General features: G+C 40.1%; 1 protein-coding gene across 18 annotated transcripts in view; it reads right to left on the minus strand.

The window, feature by feature from the left end:
* Window positions 1-3,589: 3,589 nt before the first annotated feature.
* The window catches only part of CDK19 (cyclin dependent kinase 19), a 205,878-nt gene continuing 185,252 nt past the window's right edge, over window positions 3,590-24,215 (minus strand). For 17 of the 18 annotated variants that reach the window (XM_047418470.1, NM_001300964.2, XM_011535630.3 and 14 more), the window contains 7 exons: window positions 20,614-20,757; window positions 20,388-20,457; window positions 16,902-16,974; window positions 16,427-16,524; window positions 15,700-15,778; window positions 14,716-14,982; window positions 3,590-8,278 (listed from right to left, as the gene is read on the minus strand). In XM_047418470.1, coding sequence (XP_047274426.1) covers window positions 8,147-8,278; window positions 14,716-14,982; window positions 15,700-15,778; window positions 16,427-16,524; window positions 16,902-16,974; window positions 20,388-20,457; window positions 20,614-20,757 — 863 coding nt within the window. In that variant the 3' untranslated portion in view covers window positions 3,590-8,146. The other variant, XM_047418473.1, reaches the window with a different exon arrangement.

The raw sequence follows: 24,215 nt of genomic DNA on the forward strand, positions 1-24,215 counted from the left end.
GCCCAGTTCACAGTAGGTATTTATGGACTGACGATCTGGACAGGGGGTGATGGGGACACATTTACAGTTGTTCTTCCCAGGAACATTAGTAATTTTTAGGAAGACAGAAGAATAATCTCCAGGTGTGTGCAGTAGGTGCATGTACCTGTTCAAATGTGAGGATAATCTTTGGGCAGGAGACTCTTGGAGACCCTTTGAATTCACACCAGATTGGTAGGAAAGAGGGGTTCAGAATTCAGTTAAAATTAAGTCAGCAAAAACCATGTTGGAAAAGACAGGAAACAGAAGGTAAGGACTGTCTTACCAGTTCAGGGACAACTGACCTCTATAGAGGAGGGAGAGAAGTCAGAGACCGAGCAAGGTGTATTACTCCATTCTCACACTCCTATACATACCTGAGACACGGTAATTTATAAAGAAAAGAGGTTTAATCAGCTCATGGTTTTTCATGCTGTACAGCCTTCTGATTCTGGAGATGCCTCAGGAAATACAATCACAGTGGAAGGTGAAGGTGAAACAAACGCGTCCCACATGGCTGGAGCAGGAGGAAGAGATCGAAGGGGGAAGTGCTACACAGTTTCAAACGAACAGATCTCGTGAGAACTCACTATCACGAGAACAGCAAGGGGGAAATCTGTCCCCTCCACCCAATCACCTCCCACCAGGTCTGTCCCTTAACACTGGGGATTGCAATTCAACATGAGATTTGGGTGGGGACACAGAGCCAAACCATATCACAAGGGTAACTGGTTTTGCTAGCTAAAAGGTAAGATGTCACATCAGTCAGCTCGGGCTGCCATGACAGAATACTATAGACTGGGTGGCTTAAACAGCAGAAATTTACTTTCTCACAGTTCTGAAGGCTGGAAACTTCCAAGATTTGGTCTGGCAGAATCCGCTGTCTTCCTGGCTTGAAGATGCCCACCTTTTTGTTGTGTCCCCGAGGGAAGAGGGGAGAGGGAATGAGCTCCCTGGGGTGTCTTCTTATAAGGGCACCAATCCTGTCAGTTCAGGGCCCTACCCTTATTAATCCTACTTACCTCTGTAAAGGCCCCATCTCCAAATATAGACGCATGGGGGGTTAGGGCTTCGTGCGAATTTGGAGAAAACACAAATATTCAGTCCACAGCAGCTTCATCGTGCAAACTCAGCAGCAGTTTTTGAAAAAGCTTGTGCAGCAAAGAATGTGCTGAAGAGATACATTTTGATGTTTTAAGTCAACATTTTCATTTCTTTCCCCGATACTATATTCTCTCATTTAGATAAACAAAATTTCCTTTTAGGTTTGTATGTTGCTTGTCCAAGCTGGTTTCCTATTGCCTACTAGATAAAATGATGCTATACAAGGCTTTAAAATGCCTACCTCTAGGTAGCCAAAACAAAGACGGCTTCTGGCCGAGTGTGGTGGCTCAGACCTGTAATCCTAGCACTTTGAGAGGCCGAGGTGGGCGGATTGCCTGAGCTCAGGAGTTGGAGACCACCCTGGGGGCAACGTGGTGAAACCGTCTCTACTAAAATACAAAAAAATTAGCCGGGCTTGGTGGTACATGCCTGTAGTCCCAGCTACTCGAAAGGCTGAGGCAGGAGAATTGCTTCAACCCGGGAGGCAGAGGTTGCAGTGAGCCAAGATTGCACCACTGCACTCCAGCCTAGGCCACAGAGTGAGACTCTGTCTCAAAAAAAAAAAAAAAAAAAGATGGCTTCTAAAGAAGAGTGGCAAGTATGGCTAATTTATCTTTTTTTTTTTTTTTTAATAAGACAGGGCCTCATTTTGTTGCCCAGGCTGGAGTACAGTAGTGCGATTACAGCTCACTGCAGCCTCAACCTCCCAGGCTCAAGTGACTCTCTCACCCTAGCCTCCCAAGTAGCTGGGACTACAGGTATGTGTCACCATGCCTGGCTAATTTTTTTTATTTTTTGCAGAGATAGGATCTCACAATGTTGCCCAGGCTGAGCTCAAACTCCTGGGTCTGAGTGATCCTCCCACCTCGGCCTCCCAAATTGTTGGGATTACAAATGGTGTGAGTCACAACACCTGGCCTTACTTCTTTTATTCAAATGCAATTTGAATTGTTTGTTTGTCCCTTTGGGGTGAATTTTATTATGACTCTGCAGTCAAACATAGAAATAAACCTATTTTAAGAAAGTGAACCAGGCCAAGTGCAGTGGCTCACACCTATATCCTAACACTTTTTATAGAGACTCCATCTCTATAAAAATTTTTAAAAAATAACCAGGTGTGGTGGCATATGCCTGGATCCCAGTTACTAGGGGGGCTGAGGTGAGAGGATTGCTTGAGCCCAGAAGGTTGAGGCTGCAGTGAGCTATGATCAGGCCACTGCACTCCAGCCGGGGTGACAGAACAAAAGACCCTGTCTTAAAAAAAAAAAAAAAAAAAAAAAAAAAGCAAGCAAGCAAGCAAGCCAGACATAGTGGCCTGTGCCTGGGAAGCTGAGGAAGGAGGATCCAGCGAGGCCAGGAGTTTGAGGCCACAAAGTGTTATGATCACACCTGTGAATAGCCACTGCACTTCAGCCTGGACAACACAGATGCCATCTATCCAAAAGAAAAAAAAGGTGATGCCTGTTTCTAGTATTTTTATTATTCATGGAACAAAATTATGTTCATCCTTATCCATAAACAAATATTACATGACCCAGGAATTCTATGCAAGTGTACAAGTGATGCTATGACTTACCATATTAAGCAACTGCTCTGTGTTGGGCATCTTGACAGCTGCTGGGCAAGAGGGGAATAAAACTCAGGCCCTGTTCCCAAGAATTTACAGTCTGTTAAGGTGATGGACATCACCTTCCCAGTTCTCCCAGGAGTGGTAAAGGGTTTGTCCAGTCATCTGCTTTGTCTTACCCAGATGGCTGGTGAGAAACGCAGCCGAGGCCAATGAACAGCTTTGCAGAAGATCTATCCTACAAATAGCACAGCACTGAGTATGAAATCTGTGCCAAAAAGAGAAGCAGCCAAGTGGGATGTGATTATTTTAAATAGAAATGAAAGCTCTGTATTCATGCCACTTAAACATTGTTCAGTTCACTCTGTGATGCCTTTGGATATTGGAGTAACAACCATAGAAGATTCATCAAACAAATTATAGAAGGAGCAGCCAGGTACCACAGAGTGCTCTTATAAAACAAGAAACTCCCAATCCAACCCCATCCACAAAATGCTTATTAGTCTTTTCTAATTCTCATTTATATTTTTTTAAAAAGATGTTTCTCCTAAAGATGTATAAAAACCTGCAATTTTACTTATGAGGTATTTGCAGGCCTTGCTTGCTTTGCAGTATTATGACATCATAGCATCCTGAACAAAATAACATATTAGAACTCACAGAAAGACTTCGTATCTCTGCAGGAAAAGTGTAATTATAAAAGCTTCTAGGCACACAGATAAAATTTTAACGCTAGATGGGGTCTCACTATGTTGTCCAGTCAGGTCTCCAACTCCTGGCCTCAAGCAATTCTTCTACCTCAGCCTCCCGAAGTGCTGAGATTACAGGCATGAGCCACTGTGTCCAGCCACTAAGCCTTATTATAAGATTTTTTTTATATTTAAAAAATCCACACAGAAGCAAAGTCAATTAAATTTTATTTCAACCAAGAATATAAAATAAATGCAATGTAATTTATTTTAGTTTTAACAGTCATTTCAAGAAGGAAGTCAGGTCAACTCAAAAGCAGGAAACCCTCGCTCCAAAGCAGTAGCTCGTCCTGCACTCCATGGAGCAGGCCTCGCTGGGGTGCAGCGGCTCTGAGCACAAACCTCGCAGTGGAGCACGAAAAGCTACAGTCATCTCTATAACCATATAAAGGGGGATGCGTGCAGAAAATGACTGAAAAAAGAGACAAGAACAGGTACACTTCACAAATAGGAATTATAGGAATATACAAACTAGGCAGTTTAGAAAGGATATACTACATAACATATATAAAAAGTACTTTAAATTGTTGTTAAAAAGGACACCTTCAGTCCAGATTTTGTGTAATACTTTTAGTGTCTACACAGACAAATCTTTAAAAAAATTAAATAGTATTAATTTACTAAATATTTAGGAGATAACAGTGCATTAAGGGTTTTTTTTTTTATATAATACATACATATCACCCCTTTGCAGTGATAGCATAGAAGAGTAAGTATGGCCTTAGGTACAACACGTTTTTTAAAAACCCTAAAACAATGAACTTTGTTATATTTGTGACTATTTTTGAGGATTATGGGGACCTAAACTGCTATGTTTTATACAAAATATTACTTGTACTTGAATCCTTCAAGCCTCTGTTGGTCTAACTGCCATTTCACTGCCTTTCTCTACTCCCTAGGAAGACATCATCATAGAGTTTTGGATTTGTAATTTCCATAGAATTCTTCCTTCATTGTATAGTTTCTGCTGCATAAATTTACTCAAAAGCACATCAAGTTGCATGTCTTATTTTCCAACTATTTTTTTCTTTTCTTTTACCTTTAGCAGAGAAAACAGCATCATTTTAGAGGCATAGAGAACAAGTAGCAGTTGCTTCACCAGGAATGAGGCAGCACACATAGGTAAATGTCATCCCTTTCCATTCTTAAGAGTCCATTATGTTCGTAAGAGCAAAAGAGTAGTGCAGAAGGCCAAAATTCTAAGTACTAAAGTTTCAAAACCACAGAGATATAAAAATATACATAATCCTTGGTCTTTGTATGTCACTGCATGATCTACTTCATCACAAGGATTGTTTCAGCCTCATAGTATCAGCCCTGCTGCCAAAGCTACCTTACCTTGAGCTCATCTGTCCTGCAACACTTGAATTCCTTTCACAAACACACACCTCCCCAGAAAGCTAACTCTGAAACTGGTTTGTAACACGAAGAGCAGAAAGCCTTCACTTGGATTCATTCCTTCCTGTCAATAACCCCTCCTAGTTTGGGTGTTCCCATAGGCTGAGGGATGCCCCTCCTGTACCCTTGGGGGACATAACAGTATCTAATAAATTTCAAAGAGAAATGCCATCATTTGGGGACCACAAAGGTAAAGTTTGCCCTCAAAAAGCTTCAAAGGTCTCCTTAGAGGTCCCACGGTTTGAGGGCCCTTACGTGTGTTAAAAAGGCTTTGTTCCCAACTGGGTGCGGTGGCTCACACCTATAATCCCAGCACTTCGGGAGGCCGAGACAGGCGGATGACCTGAGGTGAGGAATTCAAGACCAGCCTGACCAATAGGGTGAAACCCCATCTCTACTAAAAATACAAAAATTAGCCAGACGTGGTGGTGCGTGCCCGTAGTCCCAGCTACTCGGGAGGCTGAGGCAGGAGAATCACTTGAACCTGGAAGGTGGAGGTTGGAGTGAGCCAAGATCGTGCCACTGCACTCCAGCTTGGGTGACAGAGCAACACTCCGTCTCAAAAAAAAAAAAGGCTTTGTTCCCCTTTAAAGGAAAGAAAATGATCCAAAATTATTACTAAGGGTAAAGGGAATCAGTGGGTAGCACGAACCCTGAGGCAAGGAAAGAGGAGAAAAGAGCCAGTACCAGTGCAGGGATAGGAACTCAGTCATGTGTGGAATGGAGATTTCTGGCTATGTCCTGGAGGATATTGTATACTGGGAGCAACTGACGAAATCCCCTTACAGTTTATATTTCAGTTCTGCCAGCAAAAGTCATTATATACAAGGAAAACAGGGTAGTTCTGTGAATGTATAAGCGTAAGAACTATTTAACAATGCTGCTTATAAAGTATTAAGGGGCATAGTATTTTGGTTTACATATCTATCTGGGTTTGTCTTCTTTTATTAAAGGTAACCTCCTTGAGAGCAAGAACAGACCTTCTATTTTCCTTGCAATTTCCTACAACCACTTAGGAGAGTATGTTCTGCCTACAAGGACCACCCAGTTGTTGTTAAAAGGCTGCTGTGAACATTTCAAAGATACGTCAATGCCTTTTGTGATATTGAATCACTGGCTTTCTCTAAGGTAGACTGACATAGAAACCCTTCCATAATATTATTTACAGAACAGATTTGGGGATAGTAACTACCCAAGTGGGTTTAGAAGTAAACAAAAAGACCTTCATATTATAAGACAGTTTCACTTGTAAGTCAATCACATGGCACAGACATCCCAGGAGGGCTTACTGTCACAGATCACAAGCTCCTTAAGGACAAGAAGTATGCCCTGTCCTCTGTGTTCTCTACCCAGCAGGGCACCAGGCACATGGTGAGGGTGCAATAAGCATCTGATGACCAACAGCTCTGGACAGTGAGGCTTTAGGGCACAGGATAAAACTGCATATAGGCAGCTACATTATGCAGAGGGCTGCTAATTTCTTATTTTAAAAAATGGAAGGGGTAAAACAGCAGGAGACTATCAGAAACTCCTTCCAATGGAGCACGTAACCTGCTTCATCTTCAGTCTTGATGAGTGTCACTATGCAGACTTCATTATTAGTGAGCATTATTATGCTGAGATCAGTAAGGTCCTGGCTGGCTACAGTATCACATCAATAGTGCAAAATGTATACTGGCTTCTGTCTAATCTTATTTTACTTGTGTATGGACCCACAGTATCATAACCAGGTAGATAAGTTCAGAAAGAATAGTTTTTAAAAATGCATGTAATTTGCATATACAATAATCAGCTATTTCTTCTAGCTCAAGAAAACATTTAAAACAAGGCTGGTGCTGCTAGTAGCATTCAGAAGAACACAAATTTCTTGCCCCTTACATTACAATGGGAGCTCTAAGTTTTTACATTTCCTTTTGACTCTGGGGAGTGAGGGGCTCCTTAAAGCAGCTAAGAAAGAACTCAGCCACTAATTCATAGATAATGGAAATGCAAATATTCACTTTGTCTAGTATAGTCTTATACTATCCGCCCATAGTTTTTAGGCACAATTATTAAGTTTTCTCCTAGGGGCAAAAGAAATCATTCAGTGCAATGAAAAAGATTCTTGATAGAATTAAGTTTCAGTAACAACAGCAAAATTATGCATACATAATACATACTTTAAACATGAATAAAACCTAAATTTTTAACATGCTTTAAAAATAGTCACTCTATATCTAATACAAATACGAATGGAGAACACTGCTCTTTATTTTAAAAGCAGATTAATTTTCAGGCTTCTACTTGAGTAACCTTGATTATGCAAGAAAGTTACTCACGCAGACCCAGATGTGAAGAAACCAATGGTTCTTTAGAGAAGCCGACTTTATGTACAATACACACTAAAAACTTTTCCTTCAAAGGGAAGTAACACGTCTTTTGATCAAAATTACTCCTTACAGAAATCCTAGTGCAGTTGTTACTCTCTTCAGCGTTTTGGTGTGGGCCATCGAGACTGTACAAAGCTCTTGAAACCCTTTTTAAGGTAGACTTAGCTACATGAAGGTTAAAATTGTAATTCTTAATTACTGAATGCTATTCAGAATAAGATGATGCTGGGAACTCAGTTCCATATGAATGATTCTATAAAAATTACCACATACTTCAGTTCTTCGTGGCATAAAGCACATAACTGCAAAGATCTAGGCAGTTTTTGGTTGTAGGTTCCCTCTGTCCCACCGCTTGTCTTTTTATTAGACCTTCCCTGAAACTAGATAAATACGAACGTAATAGTAAAGTACTTTGGGACAGTAACAGTTTCTGTTTAAGACTTCCATGAGCAGAACAGTTATTGTCTGTGAAAACGTAGTGCTTTAAAAGGTGCATTTTTACCTGTGTTGCTAAATCAGTTCATGAAGTATAAAACTATACACCACTGGAATCCTGTTTCTAAAACATTAAAATCCTATTAAAAGAGCTTTGAAAAGATAAACCATAGTGATTGCTACAGCATGAGAAAGGTGCACCAGGAAATCCTTCAAAGAAATGCTGAAGGTTACAGAAGTGCTGGGATTAGATCAGACGCTTTATCAGAGAAGTCACAATGGAACACATGCAGGGAAGGGGTGCTGGGGAAACTTCACAAGAATCTTCTTTAAGTCAATAAAGAAGAGCTATCAGTCCTGCACAATGCTCAGTATATAAGGTTTTCCTCCCATGTGTATGAGTTTTAAATGGCATCATAGTTTGCATTTTTTTGGTTCTTTTCAATGCAGACATATTGCTGGAGCCTGTGCTCTGGGCTGGGCTGGCCTGGCCCAACGGGAGCTGGTCAGTACCGGTGGGCCTGGTGAGATGGGTGGTACTGTGAGCTCTGCTGAGACGAGGAAGAGTAGCCAAGTGTGCTCTGGGACTGAGAGGATCCCTGAACGCTGCTTTGGTAATTCAGGCGAGAACTGGAGTGCTAGGAGAAGGAAACAGGAAAAGGGAATTACTGATGGAGGAAGAGGATGACTCAAGATGCTCATCACAGTAGGATAGAGATATAAGCCGTTTTCATTAGGTTCCTGGTTCAGACACACATAGCTGACAGCTAACTTAAGTTGTTAACACATTTTGCTTATTTGAAATCACAGCCTGCCACCACTGTAACCACACATTCTGGCAGGCATGAAATTTGGCTAGATTTTTGTGGGAGATAAGCTACACTGGAAAGAAAGGAAAAGGGGAAATTTCAGCGGACCCATTTCTCTTTATTCCAATTCTGGGGTGTAACAATCCTTTGCATAACTGAGACGTGCAAACAAGAATAATCAATTTGGCATACTGAAATCAATAGTATTCATAATGTATACTGACATGCTATTATTTTTCCCATTATAAATAACAAAGCTGTGATTAAGAAATCATTATTTTAGAGCAAAGGGTTTTCAGAGGTAGAAGCTAGGGGTATCAGGAGTTCTACCTACGAGACAAAGTAAGGCAAGATTAGGTGGGGTGCGGCAGCAACATGTGGGTTTTATAAACTTCAGGTAACATTTAGAATAAAGCAATTTTCACATATGATTGTCTTCAAGAGAAGACAGAAAAATGCATTTCAATTCAATGTATTTTTATTACATTAAATGAAACCTTCATCTTCATAGTACCTAACGCAAATACAAAAAAAATGTGTAAAAGGAAAAATCATCTATAGAATAAGAACAGTATGTAAGAGACAAGCATAGCTGGAAGTAGTATCTTTGGCTATATTCAGAAGGCTGGTTTTTCTTGTAAGCAAAGTGGGAAAGAATATATGTAATAAAGCTATTACTTTTGAAACTTCCTTAGCAAAAATTAAACAGCAAGAAAATTATGACAGTGAAAGAGATCTGATTTAACCCACTCCATCTTGCCTTTAACCTCCAAACTGTTCTTGGTCATTGCTGGGCATGGGCCAAGCTAACTTTGGGAGAAATTTAGTTTATAGTTTAAACGACAATAGTCCATCCCAAAACTAAACTGCCTTTATAAAACTACTAAAAGGCCACAAGTTTAGGATTATGAGAGAGGCCTGAATTCTGCTAAGATGTAGGTGCAGTTAAACAATTACCAGTCATTGTTCTGGAGGTCAATTGGCTACTCCCCAATTACTCCTGTAAATAACATCACTATTGTCAACCTTTTCAGAAGGCTTTTCAGACTTTTGCATTTCGGATGACTCCACCCAGACTGAGACTCATGACTCAACCAGTCCTGTGGCCCCCACCCAGAAGTGGACTCAGCACAGGAAGACCATTTTTCACACCCCTTTGATTGCATCCCCAACCAAGCAGCAGTAGTCATTCCCTAGACCCCTGCCCACCAAAGTATCTTTGAAAAATCCTAGCCTCCAAATTTTGAGGAGGCTGATAATAAAACTCTGATGTCCCATTTAGCTGGCCCTATGTGTATTAAACTTTCTCTATTGAAATTCCTGTCTTGATAAATTGGCTCTATCTGGGCAGCGAGCAAGAAGAACCTGTCGGGCGGTTACACTTTGAGTTAAACATGTAAATTATCTTGAGGTGGCACTGGGGGTTTAGGAAAGAACAGATCAGCAAGGTCCTCCTGCTCAGTGCTCAAAGGCTGCCAAACGACTTGGAATATCTGGTCCAAGATAACAGGGCACTAAGGTAGTTTTGGTTAAAAACAACTCAGTTGTGGCTAGGCACAGTGGCTCACACCTGTAATCCCAGCACTTTGGGAGGCTGAGCTGGGCAGATCACCTGAGGTCAGGAGTTCAAGACCAGTCTGGCCAACATGGTGAAACCCCATCTCTACTAAAAATACAAAAATTAGCCAGGCATGGTGGTGGGTCCCTGTAGTTCCAGCTACTCGGGAGGCTGAGGCAGGAGAATCGCTTGAACCCAGGAGTCAGAAGTTGTAGTGAGTCAAGATTGGCGCCACTGCACTCTAGCCTGGGCGACAGAGGGAGACTCCATCTCAAAAAAAAAAAAACAAAACAAAACTTAGTTTTGCCCCTTCCTAAGTTGCACAACTGAATAGTCACATTGGTTACAGAAGTCTTTAAAAATTCCAAATTTTAATTACGTGTTTTATTTTGAAGTTTATTATGAAAAATGTTCTTTCAACTCATACGTTATTTGGGGCAATTTTGCCATAAAGTATAATGTAAACATGTAAGAATCTAATGTGCTGTAACATAGCTTTTTTAATGACAAAGGGTTTTTTAGACAGAAAATAAGCCAATGTCCCGCTTTTCAAAGCGCTAATTGTACTTGCTTACAATACATTGATGAAGCAGCTCAAAAGCCTTGAAACTCTACTAATGGAACTGTTGGGGCACAGAAAACAATACCCCAAAATGAAGGCCTCAGGAGCAAAAGTTTTTCTCTGACCTTTTTGTGCCCTCTTGTCTCACAGTCCCATTCTCCTCAGAGCCAGCCATAGAAACTAGAATTCCCCTTCCCTAAGGCAAGCCATAGAAACCAGAACCCCACTTCCCCAACACCAGCTGTGAAACCTAAAAATATTACTCTAACTTCCCCCTACCTTTCTGTGTAAAAACTGGACATAAAGAAATGATCTGGCATATCCTGTCTGACTGTAGGTCATGAGACTCCTGTCCCAGAGGGGGTCCTGCCCCACACCCAGAGGCAGGAATGCACGCTTAGAGAGACCAACAGGAACCTAGACAGGCCATGTTGGGTTTCCCCCTCAGTCTATTAGCATCAGATCATACCCCTTCTGTCCAATCATGTTTCTACATGGCTGTCTACACTTTGTTGACCCTAAACCATAAAAATGGACAATTTCTGGCCGGGCACAGTGGCTCACGCCTGTAGTCCCAACACTTTAGGAGGCCAAGGAAGGTGGATGACTTGAGGTCAGGAGTTTGAGACCAGCCTGACCAACATGGCGAAACCCTGTCTTTACTTAAAAAAATAATAATAATAATAAAATTATTTATATATATATACACACACACACACACACACACACACACACACACACACACACAAATTAGCCGGGAGTGGTGATACATGCCTGTAGTCTCAGCTACTTGGGAGGCTGAGGCATGAGAATCACTTGAACCCAGGAGGTGGAGGTTGTAGTGAGCCAAGATCACGTCACCGCACTCCAGCCTGGGTGACACAGTGAGACTCTGTCTCAAAAAAAAAAAAAAAAAAAAAAAAAAAAAGACTACATGAAACACACTTTGAATTTCTGCTTAAAAACCTAGGACATCATTATATGCTCATTAACATTCTAAATCACACACTCACCAGCACCATGACAGTTCCAAGAACATCCATATTTGGCATAAAAATGGGTGGCACCACAGTTCCAAGAAATCTCCCCCTTTTTCCAGGAATTTTCATGAATATTCCACCCTTTGGTTAAAGAAACCCATAAAGATAGAAACCCAAACCAGACTGCATGACTCTCTATTCATTTATTTTTTTTCAGATGGAGTCTCACTCTGTCACCCAGGCTGGAGTGCAGTGGCGCGATCTCGGCTCACTGCACCTCTGCCTCCCAGGTTCAAGCAATTATCCTGCCTCAGCCTCCCAAGTAGTTGGGATTACAGGCTTGCACCACCACAACCAGCTAATTTTTATATTTTTAGTAGAGACGAGGTTTTGCCATGTTGGCCAGGATGGTCTTGAACTCCTGACCTCAGGTGATCCACCCGCCTCAGCCTCCCAAAGTGTTGGGATTACAGGCATGAGCCACTGTCCCCAGCCAGATTCTCTCTTGCGTATACCCACACTCCCCTTTCTTGAGTTGTGTACTTTTCCCTCTGCAATAAATCTCCATACTTTTGCTATTTTTGACTCATCCTTTAATTCCTTCTCCCGATGGTGTTAGGAGCCTGGACACAGGGTGGGGTTGAGGTCCCACCAGCATCTGGGGACCTCCCTCAGCCCACTGGTATCAAAGTTGTATGCCTTTCTGTCCTGATAAGTAAGCAACAAGGAGGAAGGGGCTCCAGGTGGGGAAAAACAATGAACAATTGTTCTGAGACACTGCTAGTCACAAACAACTGGTGGGCACAATGACCTCATTTGGCACATAGCTCCCTCCCGCAAGACCCTGTAAAACTTCCTTCCAGCCCCTGCTCTTTGCAGACAGCCCCTCCCTCTGCTATGCTGTCTGTTGCAACAACATGTTTTCATACATTCTGTAATAAATCTGCCTTTCTTTACCCAGAACTCTTAGTAAAAACCTTGACTGCCTGAGACACTGGCCCTAGCTAGTCACACCCATGACATTTTCTCCAATTAACCTGCCTTTTGTGAGTTGATTTTTCAGCGAACTTTCAGAGAGTGAAAGGAAAGTTTTTCCCTTGGCCCCTAGATGGTGTATGAGTTGCAAGTTCGGTGTAATGGGACACCTGACTGCCCCTCATGCCAGTCTCTCCAACTAAATAGCTGTATCTATTCATTTAATAGATATGTTGGAAGGTTTATTATTTTTTTCCACAGACATCAGGACTCAGCTATGAAAGGTTTATTTTTAAGTCAACAGAACAATATGGACATAGAAAAGCATTTCAAAGAATGTTTGAATTTGGGGAAAAAAAGAAATACAGTAATCTGTCTATAATTGACTACAATTGGGTGACAAAGACTCTTTCCTTTGACAAAAACTGCAGTCAGGCTGCTCTCAGGCAGTCAAGGTTTTAACCAAGATGGTTTTGGGTAAAGAAAGGCAGGTTTATTACAGAAGGTATGAAAACATGTTGTTGCCTGGGGCAGCACAGTAGAGGAGGTGTTGTCTGCAAAGAGGCTGGAGGGAAGTTTTACAGGGTCGTGTTGGAGGGAGCTCTGTGAGTCTTCTGCTTGACTAGGCCTGACCTTGGGCTTTCCTCTGTCCTTGGAGAATCCTGTTAGAGCAAGAATCTTGCTAAGTTGGCTTGGCAAAAATCCCCCACCTTTAAAAGCTTATTACCCAGGCCTCCCTTCAGCCTAATACTATGCAGTCAGTTTAGCCAGAGACCTTTTATCCTGGATGTTTCCTCTTGGTAACTTTCCATCCACTGATCCCCACCCTGCTCTTTGGCTATACCTCTCCACTTGTCATGTAGGAGTCTGAATTGAGTCCAGTCTTCCTCCCCAACTGCCAGCCCCTGTTGCAGTGGTCCCTTTATGCACTAACATGGCCCCGCCTTGAATAAAGTCTGCCTTACCAACTTTAACAAGTGTTTAGGCAAATTATTATTATTTTTTAACACAGGTTAATATAATTCAATCAGACACACAAAGATGAACCAGTATATAGTAAGCATTTGTTGCTCATATAATGGAGGGGAAACAGATTTTATAACAAAATTCAAATATGCTCATGCTACTACCCAGCTAGCAAGCTGTTTTTAGTAGATCAAACTGAAGCCTAAATTTGTTTAATTGGAACCAAGTGGAAGTATTATGTACTCTTCTGCTTGCAGGGATATTCTGAAGAGAAGTTTTTCAGAGTAGTTGTGTGGAAACACATTAGTTTGTTGAGCTATTCAAAATGTGAAGGCAGTTTATGCAGCTATTTGTTATGTCTTTCTTGTTAAAGTTTCTCTTTATTGCAGTTCCTTATCAGTGAGTTTATGGTTCCCTTGCCAGAGGTTTTGTTTTCTATTATCTCTATCCTATGCACTCATCTGCAAGAGTTCCCGGAGGGACTGTGGTTCTAAACTTAAAACAAACAAAAAAACAAACAAACAAAAAACTTAAGTTTTCCCTTCTTCCTAGATGGTTTCTTAACTTGTTACTACCTTGAAAAAAAATTTTTTTTTCAAAATTTCCTATGGTTATCACAATGGGTATTTTTACCTCTCTCCAAATACCAATCCTTAGACTTAGCTCCTTTAATTTCCTGAATTAGCACTGCAATTGGTGTTCTCTTTTTATCTGAATAACAAAAAGTATTTTCTAGTCTCAAAATTATTTCTAATGAGACTTAACAGTTATTTCAGAAAAGCCTCAGTCTTAGCCCCCTTCTCTTCTTTATCTATGTAGCTACTTCCTCCCAGAAAGAGCATATCTTTCTAAAGAATGCAATTAATTTTGTCCAAAGTAAGACACCACTCCCCTTCCCTTTTCAACTGCGTATCTACGTATCTTTTTCTGATACACCAGAACTGCTAAGGCAGCTATAAGGGTAAAATGATGAAATTTTCTTTAAGGATGGGGGCACTGGCCTCCCTACCTTCCTCTCCTCGGGTGTCAGGATAAACAAGTCAGAATACGAGATATCTTACAATTACATGAAATATGATGAAAATCTTCCTCTTCATAGAATGCCCTAGAAACAGGATTGCACAGTCAAATGTAAGAGTTAAGTGTTACTTAACTCTAAAAGGATCTAGGATAAATCTTTTCCCCACTTCATAAAGCATATGAACATTAGACATTCAGGGAGTACCTGATAATCCGAGGGCATCACAGGTCCACCTGAGTTTGCGCCTGAAGGCCCTAGCCGTGGCTTCTTGTTTGGAGGCACCTGGTTCAGGCTGGAGTCCTGGCTGTGCTGCAACCCTGCTCCGGTGCCCCCGACCCCGGCCCCAGCCCCACCTGCGGTCCCGTTGGTCTGGGTGCTGTTCTGCTGTGGTGGGGGCGCCTGTGGAGGGGCTGCTGCCTGCTGTGGAGGGGCTGTGGGCTGCTGATGCTGGTTCTGCTGCTGTTGCTGATTCTTTTAAGGGGAAAAAAGCAAGCTTGGTATGAAACCAAATTAACAGGAGCTTTCTTTAATTATTTGATATGCACATGTGGCTGCTGACCAACCTGGGGGAGCAATCTATGTGGGACACTAGAGTGATGGGGAGGACTGGAGAATGGAGCAGCCAGGGAACACAGTGTTCCCAAAGGGCAAGGCGCTGAGCCCCAAACAGGACTCTTTCCCTGAAGTTCATTTAGACTGCACAGTGATCCTCCAAATCAGTCACAGACATCTCACTGAAGGCCACAGGCACATTAGAAATACATTTCTTATAGCTCATTAAAACAGCTAGAAGAAATCTTTTCAATCGTGATTCTGGAAAGGCAGAGCGGTCTGGAGAGTGAGCCAATATATCCAGTTAAGACGAAAGAACAGAGTGATGCTAGCAAAAGCCAGCCTGCATAAAGGGGTGGTAGTGACACCAAACAAACAGAAAGAGCAAGAAGTGGGAATCCGGGAGTAGAACTGGCTGTAACACACACCGGAAGCTCAGGTATCTGTGAGCTGGTCATACTTCAAACTTCAAGGTACCTTTACAATCCCCAAACTTCCACAGAAAATAAGATACATTCAAATTTAATTAAATATTAGAAAAGGTGGTTAAATGTATAGGAATTATGGAACGATACCTAAACTATCTTTTTGCCTCCCTTGCTCTTTGGAAGTGAAAGTATACCGTGCAGTTTATACCTTGTCACCTTTTTCTTCAGGATCATCTTCATTAAGGAATTCTCGTTTGGGGTATGGAATCTGGCAGCCGGCAAATACACTAAAAATCATTAAAAAGAAAAAACATATCATGATCTAAAATCTGTAATATCATTACCTTGTTAATTTAAAATTCCAATTTGTTTTTCTTCACTTATTTCCTACTCTTCATCTGTGGCTAGTGTTCAAATCTTGACTGCTGCTAGCTAGTTGACATATAGGACACAGAAGTTTCTCTATACTAACTTCATTAGCGCCAAAAATAACTTAATTTGTATTTGCCTTAACAAGAAAAACTACACCTCTTATAGATGAAAACACAAAGTCTATACTTGGGGTTAAGAAGGATGAAGGAGTAGAGAGGTTTTGTAGTGCAGTGGACATGCTCTGAAAGACAGATTAACTTCTGTTGCCTACTGGTTTGGCTGAATTTCTGATCTGGCCAATTGGTCTGTAAAGGTCTTATCTGTTATCAGCTTTAGTTTTCATCTGTAAAACTGACAAATGGTCGTTCCTAAAATACTTGTTTTCATTCATCCCTCTCTGCAGCTTTGCCTGTTTCAAAATGTGGAAGCTTGCTCTTGAGCAGTCTTTAGGTGGTATCATTGAAAAAGTTAAATACTTCAGTAGCAAGTGCTTCCCTTGCTTTCAACCACCATGCAGCCTCCTCAGCCTGGAGCAAAGGACACAGAAAAGACAGGATACATACTCTAATGTTGGCAAAGGGTCCTCCTGAAAATAGGGATCCTGCAGAGCTTGCTCCGAGGTAATTCTCTTGGTTGGATCCATGGTCAGGAGTTTCTGAAGCTAGAGTGACACACAGGAAATGTACAGCACATGAAAAGGTTATTTACAAGTCAACACCTTGTCTTTTGTATTACTGTGTAACAGGATTAATATAAAATACATTTGGTGTAGCTCACTGCAGATTATGCATACTACATACTTTTATGTGAAATTGGCAGAAATCATCAGCATTAAAGCCCTTATAAAGTTCATTTTCTGCTGATAAATCATTTAAAGTGAAGGCTGAAAGACAGGGTGACATCTCAACAAAAAAAATATTTAATTTTACCCCAGCATCCACTAATTTCTTTTGTTTCTAAAGAGGAGGAATAGCTGAGTAAATAGAAGGCGAGATTTGTGCTGAGAATCAGATTTTAGTCTGGGAGAGAAGCACCTACCAAGAGGAACACTTTGCTGTCAGGCTTGACCTTGTGTTTCTCCATGTACTTTATGAGGCTACTGTTGGCATACCTGCAAGGACACGCACAGTCACACATCACTGGGAACACTCATCCAATTGATATTTCTTAATGATAAGCTCCAGGATTGGCTTTCCTATAAGGTATGTGTTTAAGTCATTGTTTTTTCTGAATAAGAAGAAACACATTACCAAATATTAGCAAATGTGTGAAGAAATAGGAACTGTCACACACAACATGAGAGTTTATACTGTTACAATCCCTTTGGAAAACAGTTATGCATTAACCATTAGTGTTGAAAATGTGTATAGCTTATGACCTAGCAACTCCATTTCTAGGCACATACCTGAGTCAAAGAGATGATTTTGTACATGTATATCAGGATACAGGGATAAAAATGTTCTTAGCAGCCTTTTAGTAATGGCCAATATATATATATATACATATATATATACACATATATATACATATATACACATATATACACACACATATACACATATATACACATACATATACACATATATATACACATATATACATATATATACATATATAGTATATATACGTATATATATATGTGTGTGTATATATATATACGTATATATATATACGTGTATATATATATATGTGTGTATATATATATAGACAATCCAAATGTCCATCAACTGAAAAATGGGTACATTTTTATACATTCACAGAATGGAATGTTATACAACAGTAAAAATGAATATGCAAGGTTCAGTGAGGAGAAAAAGCAAGTTGCAGAAGAAAATACATAATATGTTACCATTTATAAAAAGTTGAAAGACAATAAACTGAACAATAACTTTTAGAGGTACATAAACATGTGGACTAGAACTATAATAAAAACTGTGGGGATGATAAACCCAAATGCAGAACACTCAGAGTCTACCCTCTGGGAGGGATGTGGATAGGGAGGTGGGGCACACAGGGTACTTTAGTAATCTTAGTGATGTTCTAATTCCTAGGTTCAGAGGTGAGCAAAGGGGTATTCATTTTATTATTCTAAATATACTAGATATTTTTTCATTATATATTCTTTCCTACATATGAAATATTTCAAATTAAAAGGTCTAAAAATAGGTAATGTATGTTCATGATAAAAAGAATTACAGAATATAGAAAGTATAGAAGAAAATTAAAATCACTCACAATCAAGCCACTCAGTGACAAAAAAACCACTGACAAAATTTTTATAATGTCCCTTTGGTGTTTTGCGTGTGTGTGGCATATACATATATGGTATAAACACAGGAATTTTTGCTTTGTTTTTATAAAATTGGAATCCTACTAAAAAATTGTCTTAGCTTTTTATTTAATATTGTTCCATAAACATTTTCTTTTGTCAAATAATCTTCAAACTTATTATTTTGAGTGGCTGCCTATCTCCTACTGGTACGGGTATTACTTGTTTCATAATAGCTGTGGCATACAAGTCCTTGTAGCTAAATCTGATGTGCATGGCAGGGAGCCAATACTGCCTAGCAGGTGAGACTCAGAGACCCCTACTAGACCCTGATTGTCATTCACCAATTGTGTGATCTTGGGCAAGTTAGTTAACCTCTAAGAAAGCCTTAGGTTCTGAATCTGAAAAGTGGAAATTATAATTATGCCTATCCTATAGATTTGCTAGGAAGATCATATGAAAAAATGTAGGTAAAGGGTTTAGCACCACCCTGGTATATAAGAAGTACTCATCTATTTGTGGCAGCTCTGATTACTTCCACAGGATAAATTCCAGGAATTATCAGGTCAAAGGGCATACATATTTTAAAGCCTTTTTTAGGTGCTCTAGAATCTCGCTACACAAATGTAGCTTTTACCAGCAACCTGAGCATCACCTGAGAGCCTGCATTAGAAATGAAGGTTCTCAGTTCTCACCCCTGATTCTGACTCAGAATCTACATTTTTAACAAGGTCTCCAGGTGATTTGTAGGTACACTGAAGTTTGAGAAGTACTCATCCTCACCAGTAGCATATGCGTAATAATTTTTTTTTTTAATAAAAATAGAGATAGGGTCTAACTATGTTGCCCAGGCTAGTCTCAAACTCCTGGGCTCAAGAGATCTTCCCACCTCAGCCTCCCAAAGTGTGAGGATTACAGGCGTGAGTGAGCCACTGTGCCTGGCCAGAATGTCCATTTTATTGTACCCTTGCGAACAAGGGTACAATAAAATGTTAAATGAAAATAACTAGTTTGGTTTTGAATGTTTGAAGAATTTATAGAACATTCAGGTTGGGATTCCATAAGGCAATTAGATAAATGATTTTGAAACTTGGAAAAGTGAACTGAGTAAGATACATATTGGGAGTTATCCACATAATTGATGGTAAATTGTGGCCATCAAAATCATAGAGTCTGAATGGGAAAATACCTAGAGTGAGAAAAGAGCCCAGGATAGAACCTTGATACCAGCACTGTCCTTAAGAGATGGATACAGGCAAAGGACCCCACCAAGGACTGTGAGAAAAAGGGGTTAGAAATGATCAATGCCATTCTCTATTTCTCTTTATGATGTCTGATTTTGTTCCTATAAGCCATCCTGTCCTGAAATTTTCCTGGTAAGTTGCCCATAGAGAAGCTCTTCCACAATTTTCGGTAAGTGTGCATATTTATAACAAACACCTCACATGCCATCACCCTTAATCTCATTTCTGCTCAAAGTAAATGCCTTCATCAGTTTGTTTTACTCATATTCCAGGCCACGTGTTCTTCCTTCTGCCAGCCTTCCAGGTTTCCTAGTCCAGCATGTCAGTCACCAGTCATTACTCAGATAAAGATAAAACCACAACTGTGGCCTAGAACTGAGAACTTTATTCATGCTAAAACATAGCAGATATAAACTACCTATTGACCCTTAAATTCTTAAAAGTTTTTAATACTGCAGCCTAAACCTGAACTATATATGTTAACAGTATCTGGAAAATCTTCTTTAAATCACAGGCATAATTAATATGCTAAAATCTCAGTTTCTAGTTTAAATAACAATCTACATCTGTTTTTTAAAAAGATTAATTTAACTATTCTCATTGAAATTACTACCTATAATTAATGTACACTATGGTTTGAATGTTTATGTCCCCTCCAAAATTCATGTTGAAACTTAATTCTCAATGCAACAGTATTAGAAGATAAGGCCTTCCAGAATTGAGGGCTTTGCTTTGAGGAGTGGGATTAATGCCTTGTAAAAGAGTAAAAGAGGCATCACACAGCATCTGCCCCTTTTTGCCCTTCTACCTATGTGAGGACACAGCAACAAGGTGTCACCCTGGAAGCAGAAAGCAACCTTCATGGGATTACAAACATGCCAGTGCCTTGACCTTGGACTTTCCAGCCTCAAGGACTGGGAGAAAACAAATTCCTGTTGTTTATAAATTACCCAGTCTAAGGTATTTTTTTATAGCAGCACAAAAAGACTAAGACTGTGTGGAATTACTTACGTTGTTCTTCTAAAGTCTTTTTGAAGTGTGGGATATTCTGGCATCTTTCTAATATCTTCCCAGTCTTTATCTTACAAAAAAATTAAATATTGTTATAGAAAATAATGTGTTAATTTAAAATCTCCTAATTATGTTAGTTTATAAATATACATTAAAATATGCTTTTGAGAAGAAATGATTTTGAAATATGACTCAAAATATGACTTTAAAAAGGAAAATAAATTACCTGCAGGAAACCCCATGACACTAAATATCCGATCCAGTTGATCATGATGAAAGGGATTGCTTGTTTTTATATCTTCCTGACGACAGTGAAAAATAGGTTCCGAAGTCAACAATTCAGCAAATATACAACCTATTGCCCATATATCTGGGAAGGAAGAAACATAAGTTTTTGTATATATTTCCTTGGTTATAATTCCTAGATATAATCCCAGCCTACTTATAAAAATACTTTTCAGTAAATCAATATACAAAGTACAATAAGTACATTAAGAGAACATTATTGTACTTTGTATTTTGACATATGTGTGGGTATGTGTGTATATATAGGTATGTATATATATGTGTGTGTATGTGTATATATATATACATGACATGAAATAGCTATATCATCATGTAACAAATTGAAAGCCAAGTAATAAAAAACATTTACTTGTAAATTTTCTGATGACAATAAATGGGGACAGTCAATTTAGCAAGCAACAAATTCTTTAGATTTAGGCAAAGGTCTTTCTAACCACTTTTTTTGTTGTTGTTTTTAGGGTCTCTGTCACCCAGGCTGGAGTACAGTGGTGTAACCATGGCTCCCTGAAGCCTTGACCTCCTGGGCTCAAGGAATCCTCCTGCCTCAGCCTCCAGAGTAGTTCAGACTATGGGTGTGTGCTACTTGTACCTGGCTAATTTTTTAAAAAATTGTTTTGTAGAGACAAGGTCTTACCATGTCTAACCACTGTTAATAATTTAATCATTAAAGTACTCAATTGATAATCTAATACCAGGCGTAATACACAGATCTGATATACTGAAACAATATCATCATCAGACATGGTGACGTAATTCTTTTAAAGCCATCCAATGTATAATGATAGAGTAGAATTTATAAGTTTTGAGTCTAGACAGACAGTATAGACCATATAAAAGAATTGGGGAGGCTGGGTGCAGTGGTTCATGCCTGTATTCCAAGTACTTTGGGAGGCTGAGGTGGGCGGATCACTTGAGGTCAGGAGTTCGAGACCATCCTGACCAACATGGTGAAACCCTGTCTCTATTAAAAATACAAAAAATTAGCCGGGTGTGGTGGCACACGCCTGTAGTCCCAGCTACTGAGGAGGCAGATGCAGAAGAATCTCTTGAACCCAGGGGACAGAGGTTGCAGTGAGCCAAGATCATGCCACCGTACTCCAGCTTGGGCGACAGAGTGAAACACCATCTTGGAAAAAACAAACAAAAAACTATGGTATAGCATAAAAAAGTACTGTGTTTAGTAGCCTATTAAATATGTGAATCACATTCTGCAATAAGCTAAACAAGGAAAAAGGTTAATTACACTATTCCTTCCTCATCTAAGTTTTTGCCCTCCAGTTTCAGTTACCTGCAGTCAACCACTGCAGTTCGAAAATATTAAATGGAAAATTCCAGAATAAACAATTTATAAGTTTTAAATTGTGTACCATTCTGAGCAGTGTGATGAAATCTCATGCTACGCTCTCCATCTTCCTGGGATGTGAATCATCCCTCTGTTCATCCACACTGTATACTCACTACCCACTGGTTAGTCACTTAGTGGTCGTCTGGGTTATTAGATCAAAAAAACATAGTATATACAGGGTTCGGTGCTATCTGCAATTTCAGGCATCCCCTGGGGGGGTCTTGGGACATATTCCCAGCAGATAAGTGGGGACTACTGTATATCCATTAGCTAGAAGACGCATCAGAATGCTCTCTCCTAAAACAAATTGTCAAATGGAAAAATCCATACAGTAATGCCTTACTTATTTGACCACATTCAGGTACAGTTTCCTTCCACATAATTTAGCCTTCTGGATAATGGAAACATATTCCTTTGACGACCATTTTTTAATTACACCATTGCCTGCCACCATAAAAGGCTATAAAAAATGTAATCCTCCTTAATGATGCAGCAAGGTCATCATCATCATGAACATCCATCACTACAGAGTAGAGTAATAATACTGCTCAGCATCCATTTCTGAATTCTTTTCTGTCTCCCATGTCATACTGGTTGTCACTCTTCCCCCGATATGGCTGCCTCTGATGGTCCCATCTCTCTTCCTCATTACCACCTCTACTATGCAGTATACCAGGACTACTACTGCATGTGCCTGGTCATGCCAATTCCTGGTTTGTCCTCCATTCAAAGGACAAGAGCCAGGGTCTTGAGTTCCCAGTGAACTGCTAACATAAGAAACCTCAGATAGCAGGTGGCAGTACATTCAAAGGTTTTCTGCCTCATATTAGCCTATAATTTCAAAAGGCCATCTGGCTCCTGCACCATCTGTAGCTACTTCTCAGGTTTCTTTCCTCTATCAATGATTTGTTCTCCTGACACACCCATAAACACACCTGCCCCAACACTGCTTGTCACCATCACTGCCACTCCCCTCCCCAACTGTCACTCCACAAACCTCCACTGATATCAAATGCCTCCCGGGTTCAAGGGGTTCTCTCACCTCAGCCTCCAGAATAGCTGGGATTATAGGCACACACCACCATGCCTGGCTAATTTTTGTATTTTTGGTAGAGACGGGGATTCACCATGTTGGCCAGGCTGGTCTTAACTCCGGACCTCAAGTGATCCACCTGCCTTGGCCTCCCAAAGCGCTGGGATTACAGACATGAGGCACCTTGCCCGGCCCTAAGTACTCATTTCTAACATGGACCATGTATGGAGAAGAGTACGAAAAAGTGAATAAGTATGTACTTATAAACATCTGCTATTAACATATTTGAAGCCCTAAGATAACTGATTTGGGGATTATTCTTTCTTTCTGTCTTAACTTTCTCCTACCTTCTATCCAGAATGGATAATTGGGAATTGACTAAAATTAGAAATTAGTGATTATGTTTTTATCTTTAAGCGGTAAATTTCATTTACCAAGCAAGTGAGTTGCAAGCTGGTTAAAATTCAATTTCATTTTTCCTTACCCTGAGGAAATAAGAAGTATAATTGGTTTTCAACTCATATCCGATTTCATTTATTTAAAAAAAAGCATCTATTTTCATTTCAACAAGAGAAAAATAAATCAGAAAATATTCATAAAATTGTGCTTCTCAAAGTGTGGGCTCTCAAAGTATATGGGTCCCGCACAACAGAATCACCTACCTAAGGGCATGGACCCGCTGTGTTAGCTTCTCTGAGAGTGGGACAGACATTGGTGGGAAGTCATTTAGCTTAACAGAAGGTTTTGACTGAATGTGTCTTTTCCTAAAGGAAATCTCCCTTCTAGAGCTAGACTGTCCTAGTGTTTGGATTAAGTCTAAGGTATATGGATTTCTATGGAGATTGCATCCTCTTCTCCCTTCCTCGTGTCCTGGGTTATCTGTCATTAACCTGTTCTAAGGCATCACCTTTTACTTTCAACTAACACTCTTCCCTTCCCTGGCTTACTTTCAGTCTCTTCCTATCCTCTGGTTCCTTCTGAGGTTGTCTAAGGGATATGACTGTTTTCAATAGTGGGTAAGGAGAGACCTAAATGACAGAAAAAACAAACTTATGATTCTAAAAGTCTCAAAAATACAGCTCCATAGTAAAAGTCACTGGTTGGAATGTACACAGGCAGGATCACAGGGCCACTCCATCCCTTC

Source organism: Homo sapiens, chromosome 6, assembly GCF_000001405.40.
Source record: "Homo sapiens chromosome 6, GRCh38.p14 Primary Assembly".
In the NCBI taxonomy this organism is placed as follows: Eukaryota; Metazoa; Chordata; class Mammalia; order Primates; family Hominidae; genus Homo; species Homo sapiens.